General features: G+C 51.1%; 1 protein-coding gene across 19 annotated transcripts in view, besides 4 other annotated features; it reads left to right on the top strand.

Annotated features, from left to right (window-relative positions):
• The window catches only part of MECP2 (methyl-CpG binding protein 2), a 76,145-nt gene extending 58,924 nt beyond the window's left edge, over positions 1 to 17,221 (top strand). For 14 of the 19 annotated variants that reach the window (NM_001110792.2, NM_001369393.2, NM_004992.4 and 11 more), the window contains 2 exons: positions 6,237 to 6,587; positions 7,344 to 17,221. In NM_001110792.2, coding sequence (NP_001104262.1) covers positions 6,237 to 6,587; positions 7,344 to 8,427 — 1,435 coding nt within the window. In that variant the 3' untranslated portion in view covers positions 8,428 to 17,221. Of the gene's footprint in view, positions 1 to 1,932; positions 4,871 to 6,236; positions 6,588 to 7,340 lie in introns of those variants that run through there. The other 5 variants (NM_001386139.1, NM_001386138.1, NM_001386137.1 and 2 more) reach the window with 3 other exon arrangements.
• Positions 2,325 to 2,890: an enhancer, noted in NCBI's record as "NANOG-H3K4me1 hESC enhancer chrX:153301355-153301920 (GRCh37/hg19 assembly coordinates)". NCBI's record gives its function as "activates a minimal SCP1, AML or CMV promoter by ChIP-STARR-seq in primed H9 embryonic stem cells {active_cell/tissue: H9 hESC(primed)}" and the evidence as "EXISTENCE:reporter gene assay evidence [ECO:0000049][PMID:30033119]".
• Positions 4,727 to 5,269: an enhancer, noted in NCBI's record as "H3K4me1 hESC enhancer chrX:153298976-153299518 (GRCh37/hg19 assembly coordinates)". NCBI's record gives its function as "activates a minimal SCP1, AML or CMV promoter by ChIP-STARR-seq in naive H9 embryonic stem cells {active_cell/tissue: H9 hESC(naive)}" and the evidence as "EXISTENCE:reporter gene assay evidence [ECO:0000049][PMID:30033119]".
• Positions 5,270 to 5,813: an enhancer, noted in NCBI's record as "H3K4me1 hESC enhancer chrX:153298432-153298975 (GRCh37/hg19 assembly coordinates)". NCBI's record gives its function as "activates a minimal SCP1, AML or CMV promoter by ChIP-STARR-seq in naive and primed H9 embryonic stem cells {active_cell/tissue: H9 hESC(naive and primed)}" and the evidence as "EXISTENCE:reporter gene assay evidence [ECO:0000049][PMID:30033119]".
• Positions 5,814 to 6,356: an enhancer, noted in NCBI's record as "H3K27ac-H3K4me1 hESC enhancer chrX:153297889-153298431 (GRCh37/hg19 assembly coordinates)". NCBI's record gives its function as "activates a minimal SCP1, AML or CMV promoter by ChIP-STARR-seq in primed H9 embryonic stem cells {active_cell/tissue: H9 hESC(primed)}" and the evidence as "EXISTENCE:reporter gene assay evidence [ECO:0000049][PMID:30033119]".

Genomic DNA, 17,594 nt, shown 5'->3' with positions numbered 1-17,594 from the left:
CACTCAGGAGTTGAATAGGTGGTTTTTCTGAGGATACTTCAACTGTAAAATGTATGAACTTGTGAACTAGCTATTTAGTTCTCCTCATAATCAAGATTGTGTGTGTGTGGGGGGTTCTGATTAGAGGGAGGATGAAGAGAGGTGTATGGGGTTTTTTTTGTTTTGTTTTCTGTTTGTTTGTTTGTTTTTGAGATGGAGTCTCACTCTGTCACCCAGGCTGGAGTGCAGTGGCACGATTTCGGTTCACTGCAACCTCTGCCTCCTGGGTTCAAGTGATTCTCCTGCCTCAGCCTCCTGAGTAACTGGGATTACAGGCATGCACCACCATGCCCAGCTAATTTTTGTATTTTTAATAGAGATGGGGTTTTCGCCATGTTGGCCAGGCTGGTCTCGAACTCCTGACCTCAGGTGATCCACCTGCCTCGGCCTCCCAAAGTGCTGGGATTATAGGCATGAGCCACCACACCTGGCAGGTTTCTTTGAAAAAGTTTGTGTTTCGGCAAACACCATAAACCCCCTGGGGGACAGCCTTGGGGAGTCACCTGGCACCCTAGCCCAGCCTCCCTCCCTTGGGTCCTGCAGTGAAGGCTTAGTGAGGGTGTGCAAATGCCCAGGTCACCCTGGGACTGGGCAGGCCCTCTGGGCTAAGGGTAAACTCATTTGGAATACCTGTTTTCTATCATTGTTTTTTATTTGTTAAATTTAAAGGGTACAAGTGCAGTTTTGTTGCGTGGATATATTGTATAGTAGTGAAGTCTGAGCTTTCAGTGTAACCATCACCTGAATAGTGGACATTGTACCCGTTAAGTAATGTCTCATCCCTCACCCCCTCCCACCCTTCCCAGTCTCTCCAGTGTCTGCCATTCCTCACTCTGTCCATGTGCACATGCTATTCAGCTCCTGCTTCTAAGTGAGAACGTACGGTATTTGACTTTCTGTGTCTGAGCTGTGTCACTGAAGACAATGGACTCCAGCTCCATCCACGTTTTTTATCATTTTTACCTGCACTCCACACCCAGCACAATCCAGGCTTCTTTGTGGGTTTTTTGAAATTTGTCTTTAATTATAAAAGTAGCAGCCAGCAAATTAACAAACACCCATGTGCCTTTCATTGCACAGAATTGAAAATCATCATACTATATTTGCTTCAAGTAATTTCCATTAGAAAGAACTAGAATATTACAGTAGAGTTAAAGACCCTTTATTTCCCATCTTCAGTGCTCTTAAAAGTTCATTTAGGGCCAGGCATGGTGGCTCACACCTATAATCCCAGCACTTTGAGAGGCCCAGGTGGGTGGATCACCTGAGGTCAGGAGTTCAAGACCAGCCTGGCCAACATGGCGAAACCCCATCTCTACTAAAAATACAAAAATTAGCTGGGCGTGGTGGTGCGCATCTGTAATCTCAGCTACTCGGGAGGCTGAGGCAGGAGAATCGCTTGAACTCAGGAGGGAGGCAGAGCCTGTATGCAGTAAGCCGAGATTGCGCCACCACACCCCAGCATGGGTGACAGAGCAAGACTCCGTCTCAAAAAAAAAAAAAAAAAAGTTCATTCATTGTACACTTAGAAATAGTTAAAAAGGTAAACTTTGTTTTGTGTGTGTGTGTATATATATATATATATATATATATATATATATATATATATATGTATTTTTTTTTGAGACATATATGTGTCTGGTTTGTTCGCCCAGGCAGGAGTGCAGTGGCATGATCAACGGCTCACTGCAGCCTCAACTTCCTAGGCTCAAGTGATCCTCCTGCCTCAGCCTCCCGAGTAGCTAGGATTACAGGCACACACCACCATGCCCAGCTAATTTTTTTTTTTTTTTTTTTTTTTTGTAGAGACAGGGTTTTGCTATGTTGCCCAGGCTGGTCTCAAACTCCTGAGCTCAAGCGATCCACCTGCCTCACCTCCCAAAGTGCTGGGATTACAAGTGTAAGCCACCACACCTGACCTGTTTTGTATATTTTACCACAATAAAAAGCCTTTAAAACCCCAAGCAGACAGTTCATTTTCATTCAGGCCCAACTCAGAATCTGATCACAGCGGGGTTTCCCCCCTTTCTAGCGAGTAGCTGAAGAACTGTTTTCTCTCCTTGATGGTATAACTGTCTCTGTGGGTGTTGCTCCCCTGCCGCTCCAGTGGTTTTGTTTTTGTTTTTGTTTTTTTGAGACGGAGTCTTGCGATCTCAGCTCACTGCGACCTCTGCCTCCTGGGTTCAGGCGATTCTTCTCCCTCAGCCTTCCATGTAGCTGGGACTTACAGGCACCTGCCACCACGCCCGGCTCATTTTTGTATTTTTAGTAGAGACGGAGTTTCACCATGTTGGCCAGGTTGGGCTCGAACTCCAGACCTCAGGTGATCCACCTGCCTCAGCCTCCCACAGTGCTGGGATTACAGGTGAGAGCCACTGCACCCAGCCGGCCCCTCAGTCTTTTCCTTCTCAATCAGTGGCACCACCATCTTCCCAGGCTTTGGACATGGTCCCTGACTCACCCTTGCCCCTCACCCCCACACTAATCCACCTGCGAGCTCTGTTGCTTCACCACCTAGACCAGCCCCAAATCCTCAACTGCCCCCACCCTGGGCCACACCTGGACCACTGCTAGAGGCCTCTCATGGGCCCTCCCTGTTTTTCTCTTGCACTCCCCGGGCTTTCTGGCACAAGATGCCCCAGAAGCAGAATCACATATCTCTCCTGGGAGCCAATCTAGTGTGTTTACTGCCCCTGGAGTGTTATTGTTGGCCTTAGAATATGTCCCACTACAGGTTTGCAGAGCACTGTAGTCAAAAGTCATTTGAAATAAATCTTTTCTCTGTGGTATATTGTCAATTTGATATAGAATTAAATTTGTTTCTTTTCTTTTTTCTTTTCTTTTTTTTTTTTTTTAAGAGACAGGGTCTTGGCCAGGCGTGGTGTCTCATGCCTGTAATCCCGGCACTTTGGGAAGCCAAGGTGGGTGGATCGCCTGAGGTCAGGAATTCAAGACCAACCTGGCCAGCATGGTGAAACCCCGTCTCTGCTAAAAATACAAAAATTAGCCGGGCGTGATGGCAGGTACCTGTAATCCCAGCTACTCGGGAAGCTGAGGCAGGAGAAGGCTTGAACTCAGGAGTCGGAGGTTGCAGTGAGCCAAGATCACGCCATGGCACTCTAGCAAGACTCTGTCTCAAAAAAAAAAAAAGAGAGAGAGAGAGACAGGGTCTTGCTCTGTCACTCAGGCTGGAGTGCAGTGATGTAGTCATGGCTCACTGCAGCCTCATACTCCTGACCTCAGGTGATCGACCCGCCTCGGCCTCCCAAAGTGCTGGGATCGTAGGCTGAAGCCACCATGCCTGGCCCGAACTCATTTGTTTTTATTTGCATTAAGTGTAATAAGGTTTTGTTACTTTTAGTTTGAATTTTATTTTGGGTAATATAAACATTTACATGATTCAGAAGTCAGAATTACACTGAGGCATGTTCAGCTAGGCCTCACTCCTGTGCCTGTACCCTTACCTTTTTCCCCCTACCCCATGCAGGGAATCAATTTCATTAGTTCCTGGTGTGTCCTTCCTTAATACCCCCCCTTCTTTCTTTGGTAGAATGCAGTAGATATGTTTGCGCTTTGCTCCCTTTGCTTCACAGTGGATCCTGGAAATGACTCCATCGCAGTTCTTAGAGCTCTTGTTTAGTCCCTTTGGATCTGCACAGTACTCCAGTGTGTGGGCGCACCATAAGTTTATTCAGCAAGTGCCCTGGTGATAGGGATCGGGGGTATTGGAAGCCTTTGGCTGGTAAAAATAATGTTGTAGCAAATAACATCATGCATATGTTCTTTGAGATTTCTGGAGGTGTCTCTTTAGCATAGATTTCTAGAAGGCATTCCTTACGTCACGTTTAGGTTTATAGTTTGACCTCATGGTGATTAAGGTATTTGGGAAATGCAAATGAGAGTTTCGAAGAAGCCAGATCTTTCCCATTAGTTCACTGTTTTTCTCTGACATTAGGACCGTCCGGGTTCTAGGGAGCAGCCCTGGCGTTAGGCAGTGCCATGATGGATTGTGTAGAAGTAGCGATTCCCATCTGTCTGCTTTCTTGGCCCACTCTGCTGGTGGCTCCCCTTCCCTCCCTCCTTTATGGGGAGCTGGGGAGCTGCCTAGGGGTCCATTCTCAAAGGCTGATCTCTGGTGGGCAACAGGCCACACCTAGCTTTCCAGGGTTCTTCGTCATTTCCCATTGAGAGCTGTAAGACTCAGAGACATGAAAAGGAAGCTCTGGCTGGGCACGGTGGCTCACGCCTGTAATCCCAGCACTTTGGGAGGCTGAGGCGGGTCGATCACCTGAGGTCAGGAGTTCGAGACCAGCCTGCCCAACATGGTGAAACCCCGTCTCCACTAAACATACAAAAATTAGCCTGGCGTGGTAGCACACGCCTGTGATCCCAGCTACTCCGGAGGCTGAGGCAGGAGAATAACTTGAACCCGGCAGGCGGAGGTTGCGATGAGCCGATATTATGCCATCGGCAACAGAGCGAGACTCCATCTCAAAAAAAAAACAAAAAACAAAACAAGGCGAGCTCTGTGCTGGGACAGATTAGGGACCCCTCTTTACAGCAAGAAAGACTGCTCTGTGGGTTGTAGGATGCCTTTGTGTATGCAGTGGCTCTAGGTGACTCTGGCAGCCACACTCTGGGCCCTAAACTTCTGGAGGAAGATACAGGATAGGGAGGAACTCAGGGGTGAGTCATGGTGGGGACAAGACATTCCCTCACTCTAAGACCTTGTCACTAGATTGGAACATCTCTTGCCTCCCTACACCTGACCTGATGGTTCTGGAGAGATACGTCCTTGCAGCTTCTGAGTCCCAGCACTAAGCAGCCTTTGGTAACTTCCCTACATCATTTGAGTTCTGGTTTCCTAAGGATGCTTGCCAGTGAGTGCCATGGTGCCCTCATTGCACAGTCTGTGCAGTGTAGACAAGAGGGGAAGTCTCTTGGGGTAGACCAGCCGCAAGGCGGTGACTAGCACTGATGTGAACCACATGGGACAGGGGAGTTGTGGGGCTGAGAACACGGAGGGTGGGAGTAGTCATGCTCTTTTCCAGAATGAACTGCTAACGAAGGGACTCGCAGGTGGCTGCTGCTTCTTTCCAAGCTGCCCCTGTTGTTGCAGAGGCTCTGGAGTCCTAGGAGGTTTCACGGTGGCATACTCGACAGAGTACTAGAGCATCATGGCCAGATAGTGATGCTGGGGTGTGGGGCCTCACGGTGGCCATTTCTGACGAGACCCCACCGGGCCAAAGTGATGTGTAGAGAAGGAGCTGCTTCGGTCACCAGAAAAGAACGGGGAAGCCTCCCACACTAGAATAGGTAGGGTGCTCTTCTCCACCGGCAGGAAGGGGATGTATGGCTCTGCCTGGACCACACCTTTTTCCTTGCTCTTCCCTCCGCATCTGCTGTGGCCGAGGCCATTCCTCATCAGGGAACATGTGTTAGAGGCTCACGCCACCTGGGACCACTTGTCTTATCACCCCCAGGACCCTAGGCGGTAGTTTCCTGTGGCCTGAGTTAGCTGATATTTATATAGTGCCATTGTGCCTTTTCTCCTGTGATGCTCACAGTAAGGATGCCTAGATGGGGTTACCTGTTGTCAAGATAAGGAAACTGAAGCACAGAATGCTGAGGTCATTTGCTGGGTTCATGTTTGGAAAGCGGCAAAGGATTTCAGTGCAGGTTGGCTGGCTCCAAACCTGTGTGTGCTTTCCATGACACTGTACTGTGTGCCTCATTGAGCCTCATTCTAGAAAACCAAAAACACACCCAAGGCCCGGCCTTCACAAAGGAGACCCCTCCCCCATTTGGCTCCCTTTCCAGCAGTCGACGGCCTCTTGTCAGCCATCGAGCCCAGAGTCCCTTGAAGTGCGACTCATGCTGGGGTGGTATGCTCAGGAGCCGCAGTGTTTCCGCTCAGAGGAAAGGGCTCTGATTCTCCTGCAGTGCTAGGAGACTTGTGGGTGGCCACAGTGCAGGTCAGGCACACCGGCCAGCACCACCCACAGCCCAAATTCCTAAAGAAATATTTGGGTCCCAGCTTGGCCCGAGTCTCTGTTGTCCTGGGGAAGGACATCAAGATCTGAGTGTATGATGGCCTGGGGCCTTGCATGTGGTGGGGGTCCAAGCCTGCCTCTGCTCACTTGTTCTGCAGACTGGCATGTTCTCTGTGATACTTACATACTTGTTTAACACTTCAGGGAAGAAAAGTCAGAAGACCAGGACCTCCAGGGCCTCAAGGACAAACCCCTCAAGTTTAAAAAGGTGAAGAAAGATAAGAAAGAAGAGAAAGAGGGCAAGCATGAGCCCGTGCAGCCATCAGCCCACCACTCTGCTGAGCCCGCAGAGGCAGGCAAAGCAGAGACATCAGAAGGGTCAGGCTCCGCCCCGGCTGTGCCGGAAGCTTCTGCCTCCCCCAAACAGCGGCGCTCCATCATCCGTGACCGGGGACCCATGTATGATGACCCCACCCTGCCTGAAGGCTGGACACGGAAGCTTAAGCAAAGGAAATCTGGCCGCTCTGCTGGGAAGTATGATGTGTATTTGATCAAGTAAGTAAGAGCAACTCCTATCTCTACAGGGCAGGGAGGGCAGGGACAAGGATCCCTCATGGAGCAGGAAAATGTATGTGCCCAGGGTGGGGTCGGGGGGAACATAAACAATGAACACTGAGACCAGGTGTGCTTGAAATGACCGTGTACAGAGGTCGCTGCCCTGAGTGGGAAGTTCTCAAGGTAGCAGGCCCTCTATCCTCTCCACACCTCAAGTCTTTATCTGGGGATGGAATAGCTGCGGAAGCAGAGGAACTTGCAGAGCTAGGGGTTCAGAGGGGTGAAGAAGCATGTTTCAGTTCTGCCTTTTAAATGATCCCAAAAAGGTTAGCAGTTTTCAAATGACATTTGCAGACAGCCTCATTTAATTCCATGAGAAGGGTGAGCAAAGGATTATCTTGTTGAAACTGATTCCTGGAGAGACTGAGCACCGTACCTGAGTTCAAACTTGGGAATGTTCTAGATGGTGACTCAGGCCCAGGCACCAACCAGCAGAATGGGCCTCAGCCTGACAACCCTTCTGTACCAGGCCTGACTCTTTGGTTGCTGAACTTTGGAGAGGCCTGGGGGGGTCAGCGGCAGGCAGACGAGTGAGTGGCTTTGGTGACAGGTCCTCAGGGGCAGCCAGGCAGTGTGACTCTCGTTCAATAGTAACGTTTGTCAGAGCGTTGTCACCACCATCCGCTCTGCCCTATCTCTGACATTGCTATGGAGAGCCTCTAATTGTTCCTTGTGTCTTTCTGTTTGTCCCCACAGTCCCCAGGGAAAAGCCTTTCGCTCTAAAGTGGAGTTGATTGCGTACTTCGAAAAGGTAGGCGACACATCCCTGGACCCTAATGATTTTGACTTCACGGTAACTGGGAGAGGGAGCCCCTCCCGGCGAGAGCAGAAACCACCTAAGAAGCCCAAATCTCCCAAAGCTCCAGGAACTGGCAGAGGCCGGGGACGCCCCAAAGGGAGCGGCACCACGAGACCCAAGGCGGCCACGTCAGAGGGTGTGCAGGTGAAAAGGGTCCTGGAGAAAAGTCCTGGGAAGCTCCTTGTCAAGATGCCTTTTCAAACTTCGCCAGGGGGCAAGGCTGAGGGGGGTGGGGCCACCACATCCACCCAGGTCATGGTGATCAAACGCCCCGGCAGGAAGCGAAAAGCTGAGGCCGACCCTCAGGCCATTCCCAAGAAACGGGGCCGAAAGCCGGGGAGTGTGGTGGCAGCCGCTGCCGCCGAGGCCAAAAAGAAAGCCGTGAAGGAGTCTTCTATCCGATCTGTGCAGGAGACCGTACTCCCCATCAAGAAGCGCAAGACCCGGGAGACGGTCAGCATCGAGGTCAAGGAAGTGGTGAAGCCCCTGCTGGTGTCCACCCTCGGTGAGAAGAGCGGGAAAGGACTGAAGACCTGTAAGAGCCCTGGGCGGAAAAGCAAGGAGAGCAGCCCCAAGGGGCGCAGCAGCAGCGCCTCCTCACCCCCCAAGAAGGAGCACCACCACCATCACCACCACTCAGAGTCCCCAAAGGCCCCCGTGCCACTGCTCCCACCCCTGCCCCCACCTCCACCTGAGCCCGAGAGCTCCGAGGACCCCACCAGCCCCCCTGAGCCCCAGGACTTGAGCAGCAGCGTCTGCAAAGAGGAGAAGATGCCCAGAGGAGGCTCACTGGAGAGCGACGGCTGCCCCAAGGAGCCAGCTAAGACTCAGCCCGCGGTTGCCACCGCCGCCACGGCCGCAGAAAAGTACAAACACCGAGGGGAGGGAGAGCGCAAAGACATTGTTTCATCCTCCATGCCAAGGCCAAACAGAGAGGAGCCTGTGGACAGCCGGACGCCCGTGACCGAGAGAGTTAGCTGACTTTACACGGAGCGGATTGCAAAGCAAACCAACAAGAATAAAGGCAGCTGTTGTCTCTTCTCCTTATGGGTAGGGCTCTGACAAAGCTTCCCGATTAACTGAAATAAAAAATATTTTTTTTTCTTTCAGTAAACTTAGAGTTTCGTGGCTTCAGGGTGGGAGTAGTTGGAGCATTGGGGATGTTTTTCTTACCGACAAGCACAGTCAGGTTGAAGACCTAACCAGGGCCAGAAGTAGCTTTGCACTTTTCTAAACTAGGCTCCTTCAACAAGGCTTGCTGCAGATACTACTGACCAGACAAGCTGTTGACCAGGCACCTCCCCTCCCGCCCAAACCTTTCCCCCATGTGGTCGTTAGAGACAGAGCGACAGAGCAGTTGAGAGGACACTCCCGTTTTCGGTGCCATCAGTGCCCCGTCTACAGCTCCCCCAGCTCCCCCCACCTCCCCCACTCCCAACCACGTTGGGACAGGGAGGTGTGAGGCAGGAGAGACAGTTGGATTCTTTAGAGAAGATGGATATGACCAGTGGCTATGGCCTGTGCGATCCCACCCGTGGTGGCTCAAGTCTGGCCCCACACCAGCCCCAATCCAAAACTGGCAAGGACGCTTCACAGGACAGGAAAGTGGCACCTGTCTGCTCCAGCTCTGGCATGGCTAGGAGGGGGGAGTCCCTTGAACTACTGGGTGTAGACTGGCCTGAACCACAGGAGAGGATGGCCCAGGGTGAGGTGGCATGGTCCATTCTCAAGGGACGTCCTCCAACGGGTGGCGCTAGAGGCCATGGAGGCAGTAGGACAAGGTGCAGGCAGGCTGGCCTGGGGTCAGGCCGGGCAGAGCACAGCGGGGTGAGAGGGATTCCTAATCACTCAGAGCAGTCTGTGACTTAGTGGACAGGGGAGGGGGCAAAGGGGGAGGAGAAGAAAATGTTCTTCCAGTTACTTTCCAATTCTCCTTTAGGGACAGCTTAGAATTATTTGCACTATTGAGTCTTCATGTTCCCACTTCAAAACAAACAGATGCTCTGAGAGCAAACTGGCTTGAATTGGTGACATTTAGTCCCTCAAGCCACCAGATGTGACAGTGTTGAGAACTACCTGGATTTGTATATATACCTGCGCTTGTTTTAAAGTGGGCTCAGCACATAGGGTTCCCACGAAGCTCCGAAACTCTAAGTGTTTGCTGCAATTTTATAAGGACTTCCTGATTGGTTTCTCTTCTCCCCTTCCATTTCTGCCTTTTGTTCATTTCATCCTTTCACTTCTTTCCCTTCCTCCATCCTCCTCCTTCCTAGTTCATCCCTTCTCTTCCAGGCAGCCGCGGTGCCCAACCACACTTGTCGGCTCCAGTCCCCAGAACTCTGCCTGCCCTTTGTCCTCCTGCTGCCAGTACCAGCCCCACCCTGTTTTGAGCCCTGAGGAGGCCTTGGGCTCTGCTGAGTCCGACCTGGCCTGTCTGTGAAGAGCAAGAGAGCAGCAAGGTCTTGCTCTCCTAGGTAGCCCCCTCTTCCCTGGTAAGAAAAAGCAAAAGGCATTTCCCACCCTGAACAACGAGCCTTTTCACCCTTCTACTCTAGAGAAGTGGACTGGAGGAGCTGGGCCCGATTTGGTAGTTGAGGAAAGCACAGAGGCCTCCTGTGGCCTGCCAGTCATCGAGTGGCCCAACAGGGGCTCCATGCCAGCCGACCTTGACCTCACTCAGAAGTCCAGAGTCTAGCGTAGTGCAGCAGGGCAGTAGCGGTACCAATGCAGAACTCCCAAGACCCGAGCTGGGACCAGTACCTGGGTCCCCAGCCCTTCCTCTGCTCCCCCTTTTCCCTCGGAGTTCTTCTTGAATGGCAATGTTTTGCTTTTGCTCGATGCAGACAGGGGGCCAGAACACCACACATTTCACTGTCTGTCTGGTCCATAGCTGTGGTGTAGGGGCTTAGAGGCATGGGCTTGCTGTGGGTTTTTAATTGATCAGTTTTCATGTGGGATCCCATCTTTTTAACCTCTGTTCAGGAAGTCCTTATCTAGCTGCATATCTTCATCATATTGGTATATCCTTTTCTGTGTTTACAGAGATGTCTCTTATATCTAAATCTGTCCAACTGAGAAGTACCTTATCAAAGTAGCAAATGAGACAGCAGTCTTATGCTTCCAGAAACACCCACAGGCATGTCCCATGTGAGCTGCTGCCATGAACTGTCAAGTGTGTGTTGTCTTGTGTATTTCAGTTATTGTCCCTGGCTTCCTTACTATGGTGTAATCATGAAGGAGTGAAACATCATAGAAACTGTCTAGCACTTCCTTGCCAGTCTTTAGTGATCAGGAACCATAGTTGACAGTTCCAATCAGTAGCTTAAGAAAAAACCGTGTTTGTCTCTTCTGGAATGGTTAGAAGTGAGGGAGTTTGCCCCGTTCTGTTTGTAGAGTCTCATAGTTGGACTTTCTAGCATATATGTGTCCATTTCCTTATGCTGTAAAAGCAAGTCCTGCAACCAAACTCCCATCAGCCCAATCCCTGATCCCTGATCCCTTCCACCTGCTCTGCTGATGACCCCCCCAGCTTCACTTCTGACTCTTCCCCAGGAAGGGAAGGGGGGTCAGAAGAGAGGGTGAGTCCTCCAGAACTCTTCCTCCAAGGACAGAAGGCTCCTGCCCCCATAGTGGCCTCGAACTCCTGGCACTACCAAAGGACACTTATCCACGAGAGCGCAGCATCCGACCAGGTTGTCACTGAGAAGATGTTTATTTTGGTCAGTTGGGTTTTTATGTATTATACTTAGTCAAATGTAATGTGGCTTCTGGAATCATTGTCCAGAGCTGCTTCCCCGTCACCTGGGCGTCATCTGGTCCTGGTAAGAGGAGTGCGTGGCCCACCAGGCCCCCCTGTCACCCATGACAGTTCATTCAGGGCCGATGGGGCAGTCGTGGTTGGGAACACAGCATTTCAAGCGTCACTTTATTTCATTCGGGCCCCACCTGCAGCTCCCTCAAAGAGGCAGTTGCCCAGCCTCTTTCCCTTCCAGTTTATTCCAGAGCTGCCAGTGGGGCCTGAGGCTCCTTAGGGTTTTCTCTCTATTTCCCCCTTTCTTCCTCATTCCCTCGTCTTTCCCAAAGGCATCACGAGTCAGTCGCCTTTCAGCAGGCAGCCTTGGCGGTTTATCGCCCTGGCAGGCAGGGGCCCTGCAGCTCTCATGCTGCCCCTGCCTTGGGGTCAGGTTGACAGGAGGTTGGAGGGAAAGCCTTAAGCTGCAGGATTCTCACCAGCTGTGTCCGGCCCAGTTTTGGGGTGTGACCTCAATTTCAATTTTGTCTGTACTTGAACATTATGAAGATGGGGGCCTCTTTCAGTGAATTTGTGAACAGCAGAATTGACCGACAGCTTTCCAGTACCCATGGGGCTAGGTCATTAAGGCCACATCCACAGTCTCCCCCACCCTTGTTCCAGTTGTTAGTTACTACCTCCTCTCCTGACAATACTGTATGTCGTCGAGCTCCCCCCAGGTCTACCCCTCCCGGCCCTGCCTGCTGGTGGGCTTGTCATAGCCAGTGGGATTGCCGGTCTTGACAGCTCAGTGAGCTGGAGATACTTGGTCACAGCCAGGCGCTAGCACAGCTCCCTTCTGTTGATGCTGTATTCCCATATCAAAAGACACAGGGGACACCCAGAAACGCCACATCCCCCAATCCATCAGTGCCAAACTAGCCAACGGCCCCAGCTTCTCAGCTCGCTGGATGGCGGAAGCTGCTACTCGTGAGCGCCAGTGCGGGTGCAGACAATCTTCTGTTGGGTGGCATCATTCCAGGCCCGAAGCATGAACAGTGCACCTGGGACAGGGAGCAGCCCCAAATTGTCACCTGCTTCTCTGCCCAGCTTTTCATTGCTGTGACAGTGATGGCGAAAGAGGGTAATAACCAGACACAAACTGCCAAGTTGGGTGGAGAAAGGAGTTTCTTTAGCTGACAGAATCTCTGAATTTTAAATCACTTAGTAAGCGGCTCAAGCCCAGGAGGGAGCAGAGGGATACGAGCGGAGTCCCCTGCGCGGGACCATCTGGAATTGGTTTAGCCCAAGTGGAGCCTGACAGCCAGAACTCTGTGTCCCCCGTCTAACCACAGCTCCTTTTCCAGAGCATTCCAGTCAGGCTCTCTGGGCTGACTGGGCCAGGGGAGGTTACAGGTACCAGTTCTTTAAGAAGATCTTTGGGCATATACATTTTTAGCCTGTGTCATTGCCCCAAATGGATTCCTGTTTCAAGTTCACACCTGCAGATTCTAGGACCTGTGTCCTAGACTTCAGGGAGTCAGCTGTTTCTAGAGTTCCTACCATGGAGTGGGTCTGGAGGACCTGCCCGGTGGGGGGGCAGAGCCCTGCTCCCTCCGGGTCTTCCTACTCTTCTCTCTGCTCTGACGGGATTTGTTGATTCTCTCCATTTTGGTGTCTTTCTCTTTTAGATATTGTATCAATCTTTAGAAAAGGCATAGTCTACTTGTTATAAATCGTTAGGATACTGCCTCCCCCAGGGTCTAAAATTACATATTAGAGGGGAAAAGCTGAACACTGAAGTCAGTTCTCAACAATTTAGAAGGAAAACCTAGAAAACATTTGGCAGAAAATTACATTTCGATGTTTTTGAATGAATACGAGCAAGCTTTTACAACAGTGCTGATCTAAAAATACTTAGCACTTGGCCTGAGATGCCTGGTGAGCATTACAGGCAAGGGGAATCTGGAGGTAGCCGACCTGAGGACATGGCTTCTGAACCTGTCTTTTGGGAGTGGTATGGAAGGTGGAGCGTTCACCAGTGACCTGGAAGGCCCAGCACCACCCTCCTTCCCACTCTTCTCATCTTGACAGAGCCTGCCCCAGCGCTGACGTGTCAGGAAAACACCCAGGGAACTAGGAAGGCACTTCTGCCTGAGGGGCAGCCTGCCTTGCCCACTCCTGCTCTGCTCGCCTCGGATCAGCTGAGCCTTCTGAGCTGGCCTCTCACTGCCTCCCCAAGGCCCCCTGCCTGCCCTGTCAGGAGGCAGAAGGAAGCAGGTGTGAGGGCAGTGCAAGGAGGGAGCACAACCCCCAGCTCCCGCTCCGGGCTCCGACTTGTGCACAGGCAGAGCCCAGACCCTGGAGGAAATCCTACCTTTGAATTCAAGAACATTTGGGGAATTTGGAAATCTCTTTGCCCCCAAACCCCCATTCTGTCCTACCTTTAATCAGGTCCTGCTCAGCAGTGAGAGCAGATGAGGTGAAAAGGCCAAGAGGTTTGGCTCCTGCCCACTGATAGCCCCTCTCCCCGCAGTGTTTGTGTGTCAAGTGGCAAAGCTGTTCTTCCTGGTGACCCTGATTATATCCAGTAACACATAGACTGTGCGCATAGGCCTGCTTTGTCTCCTCTATCCTGGGCTTTTGTTTTGCTTTTTAGTTTTGCTTTTAGTTTTTCTGTCCCTTTTATTTAACGCACCGACTAGACACACAAAGCAGTTGAATTTTTATATATATATCTGTATATTGCACAATTATAAACTCATTTTGCTTGTGGCTCCACACACACAAAAAAAGACCTGTTAAAATTATACCTGTTGCTTAATTACAATATTTCTGATAACCATAGCATAGGACAAGGGAAAATAAAAAAAGAAAAAAAAGAAAAAAAAACGACAAATCTGTCTGCTGGTCACTTCTTCTGTCCAAGCAGATTCGTGGTCTTTTCCTCGCTTCTTTCAAGGGCTTTCCTGTGCCAGGTGAAGGAGGCTCCAGGCAGCACCCAGGTTTTGCACTCTTGTTTCTCCCGTGCTTGTGAAAGAGGTCCCAAGGTTCTGGGTGCAGGAGCGCTCCCTTGACCTGCTGAAGTCCGGAACGTAGTCGGCACAGCCTGGTCGCCTTCCACCTCTGGGAGCTGGAGTCCACTGGGGTGGCCTGACTCCCCCAGTCCCCTTCCCGTGACCTGGTCAGGGTGAGCCCATGTGGAGTCAGCCTCGCAGGCCTCCCTGCCAGTAGGGTCCGAGTGTGTTTCATCCTTCCCACTCTGTCGAGCCTGGGGGCTGGAGCGGAGACGGGAGGCCTGGCCTGTCTCGGAACCTGTGAGCTGCACCAGGTAGAACGCCAGGGACCCCAGAATCATGTGCGTCAGTCCAAGGGGTCCCCTCCAGGAGTAGTGAAGACTCCAGAAATGTCCCTTTCTTCTCCCCCATCCTACGAGTAATTGCATTTGCTTTTGTAATTCTTAATGAGCAATATCTGCTAGAGAGTTTAGCTGTAACAGTTCTTTTTGATCATCTTTTTTTAATAATTAGAAACACCAAAAAAATCCAGAAACTTGTTCTTCCAAAGCAGAGAGCATTATAATCACCAGGGCCAAAAGCTTCCCTCCCTGCTGTCATTGCTTCTTCTGAGGCCTGAATCCAAAAGAAAAACAGCCATAGGCCCTTTCAGTGGCCGGGCTACCCGTGAGCCCTTCGGAGGACCAGGGCTGGGGCAGCCTCTGGGCCCACATCCGGGGCCAGCTCCGGCGTGTGTTCAGTGTTAGCAGTGGGTCATGATGCTCTTTCCCACCCAGCCTGGGATAGGGGCAGAGGAGGCGAGGAGGCCGTTGCCGCTGATGTTTGGCCGTGAACAGGTGGGTGTCTGCGTGCGTCCACGTGCGTGTTTTCTGACTGACATGAAATCGACGCCCGAGTTAGCCTCACCCGGTGACCTCTAGCCCTGCCCGGATGGAGCGGGGCCCACCCGGTTCAGTGTTTCTGGGGAGCTGGACAGTGGAGTGCAAAAGGCTTGCAGAACTTGAAGCCTGCTCCTTCCCTTGCTACCACGGCCTCCTTTCCGTTTGATTTGTCACTGCTTCAATCAATAACAGCCGCTCCAGAGTCAGTAGTCAATGAATATATGACCAAATATCACCAGGACTGTTACTCAATGTGTGCCGAGCCCTTGCCCATGCTGGGCTCCCGTGTATCTGGACACTGTAACGTGTGCTGTGTTTGCTCCCCTTCCCCTTCCTTCTTTGCCCTTTACTTGTCTTTCTGGGGTTTTTCTGTTTGGGTTTGGTTTGGTTTTTATTTCTCCTTTTGTGTTCCAAACATGAGGTTCTCTCTACTGGTCCTCTTAACTGTGGTGTTGAGGCTTATATTTGTGTAATTTTTGGTGGGTGAAAGGAATTTTGCTAAGTAAATCTCTTCTGTGTTTGAACTGAAGTCTGTATTGTAACTATGTTTAAAGTAATTGTTCCAGAGACAAATATTTCTAGACACTTTTTCTTTACAAACAAAAGCATTCGGAGGGAGGGGGATGGTGACTGAGATGAGAGGGGAGAGCTGAACAGATGACCCCTGCCCAGATCAGCCAGAAGCCACCCAAAGCAGTGGAGCCCAGGAGTCCCACTCCAAGCCAGCAAGCCGAATAGCTGATGTGTTGCCACTTTCCAAGTCACTGCAAAACCAGGTTTTGTTCCGCCCAGTGGATTCTTGTTTTGCTTCCCCTCCCCCCGAGATTATTACCACCATCCCGTGCTTTTAAGGAAAGGCAAGATTGATGTTTCCTTGAGGGGAGCCAGGAGGGGATGTGTGTGTGCAGAGCTGAAGAGCTGGGGAGAATGGGGCTGGGCCCACCCAAGCAGGAGGCTGGGACGCTCTGCTGTGGGCACAGGTCAGGCTAATGTTGGCAGATGCAGCTCTTCCTGGACAGGCCAGGTGGTGGGCATTCTCTCTCCAAGGTGTGCCCCGTGGGCATTACTGTTTAAGACACTTCCGTCACATCCCACCCCATCCTCCAGGGCTCAACACTGTGACATCTCTATTCCCCACCCTCCCCTTCCCAGGGCAATAAAATGACCATGGAGGGGGCTTGCACTCTCTTGGCTGTCACCCGATCGCCAGCAAAACTTAGATGTGAGAAAACCCCTTCCCATTCCATGGCGAAAACATCTCCTTAGAAAAGCCATTACCCTCATTAGGCATGGTTTTGGGCTCCCAAAACACCTGACAGCCCCTCCCTCCTCTGAGAGGCGGAGAGTGCTGACTGTAGTGACCATTGCATGCCGGGTGCAGCATCTGGAAGAGCTAGGCAGGGTGTCTGCCCCCTCCTGAGTTGAAGTCATGCTCCCCTGTGCCAGCCCAGAGGCCGAGAGCTATGGACAGCATTGCCAGTAACACAGGCCACCCTGTGCAGAAGGGAGCTGGCTCCAGCCTGGAAACCTGTCTGAGGTTGGGAGAGGTGCACTTGGGGCACAGGGAGAGGCCGGGACACACTTAGCTGGAGATGTCTCTAAAAGCCCTGTATCGTATTCACCTTCAGTTTTTGTGTTTTGGGACAATTACTTTAGAAAATAAGTAGGTCGTTTTAAAAACAAAAATTATTGATTGCTTTTTTGTAGTGTTCAGAAAAAAGGTTCTTTGTGTATAGCCAAATGACTGAAAGCACTGATATATTTAAAAACAAAAGGCAATTTATTAAGGAAATTTGTACCATTTCAGTAAACCTGTCTGAATGTACCTGTATACGTTTCAAAAACACCCCCCCCCCACTGAATCCCTGTAACCTATTTATTATATAAAGAGTTTGCCTTATAAATTTACATAAAAATGTCCGTTTGTGTCTTTTGTTGTAAAAATCAAGTGATTTTTTCATAAGGTTCTTTTACTATTGGAAAAGATGGGCAGCACGCAGTTTTATTTTATTTTTGTAAGTTTTTTAATACATGTGAAAGCAAAGAATACTCAGCATGCCTTTCTAAGTGACGCGTTTGCACCTTTTGTTGGGAAGTACTGTATCCTGTGCTGTTAGCATTCTCGATAAATCTCTCTGTGAAAGTGACTCAAGGTCTGGGCTTTCATTATAAGACAGAAGTCCCCCTCCAGCTCACATGACAGCATGGTGCTGCGTTTCCTCATTGGATCTGGCTGTCCCTGGACACAGGTAGCTGCCTTCAGGCCTGCCACGAGCGGCCAAGGGAAGCCTCCTCCATATGCTGGCCTCGCTGGCCCCTCAGCTTCTTCCAAGCCAGTGCTCTCCAGGCACACTGCTCCAGCGTGTGACGGGAAGGGCCTGGCATGAGTCAGCCTGCAGCACAACCTCCCTGCTCCAGACCCGTATGGTAGGGGCACCCCCTAGGTCTGGATGTGCTGTGGTGCTTTTGGACACCCCCACCCCCGCAGGCTGTGGCTCCTCCTGTGTCTCATTCTGGCCA

This window comes from Homo sapiens, chromosome X, assembly GCF_000001405.40.
Source record: "Homo sapiens chromosome X, GRCh38.p14 Primary Assembly".
NCBI classification, from domain to species: Eukaryota; Metazoa; Chordata; class Mammalia; order Primates; family Hominidae; genus Homo; species Homo sapiens.
Note: the sequence above shows the minus strand (reverse complement) of the source record. Positions and strands in the feature narration are given on the sequence as shown.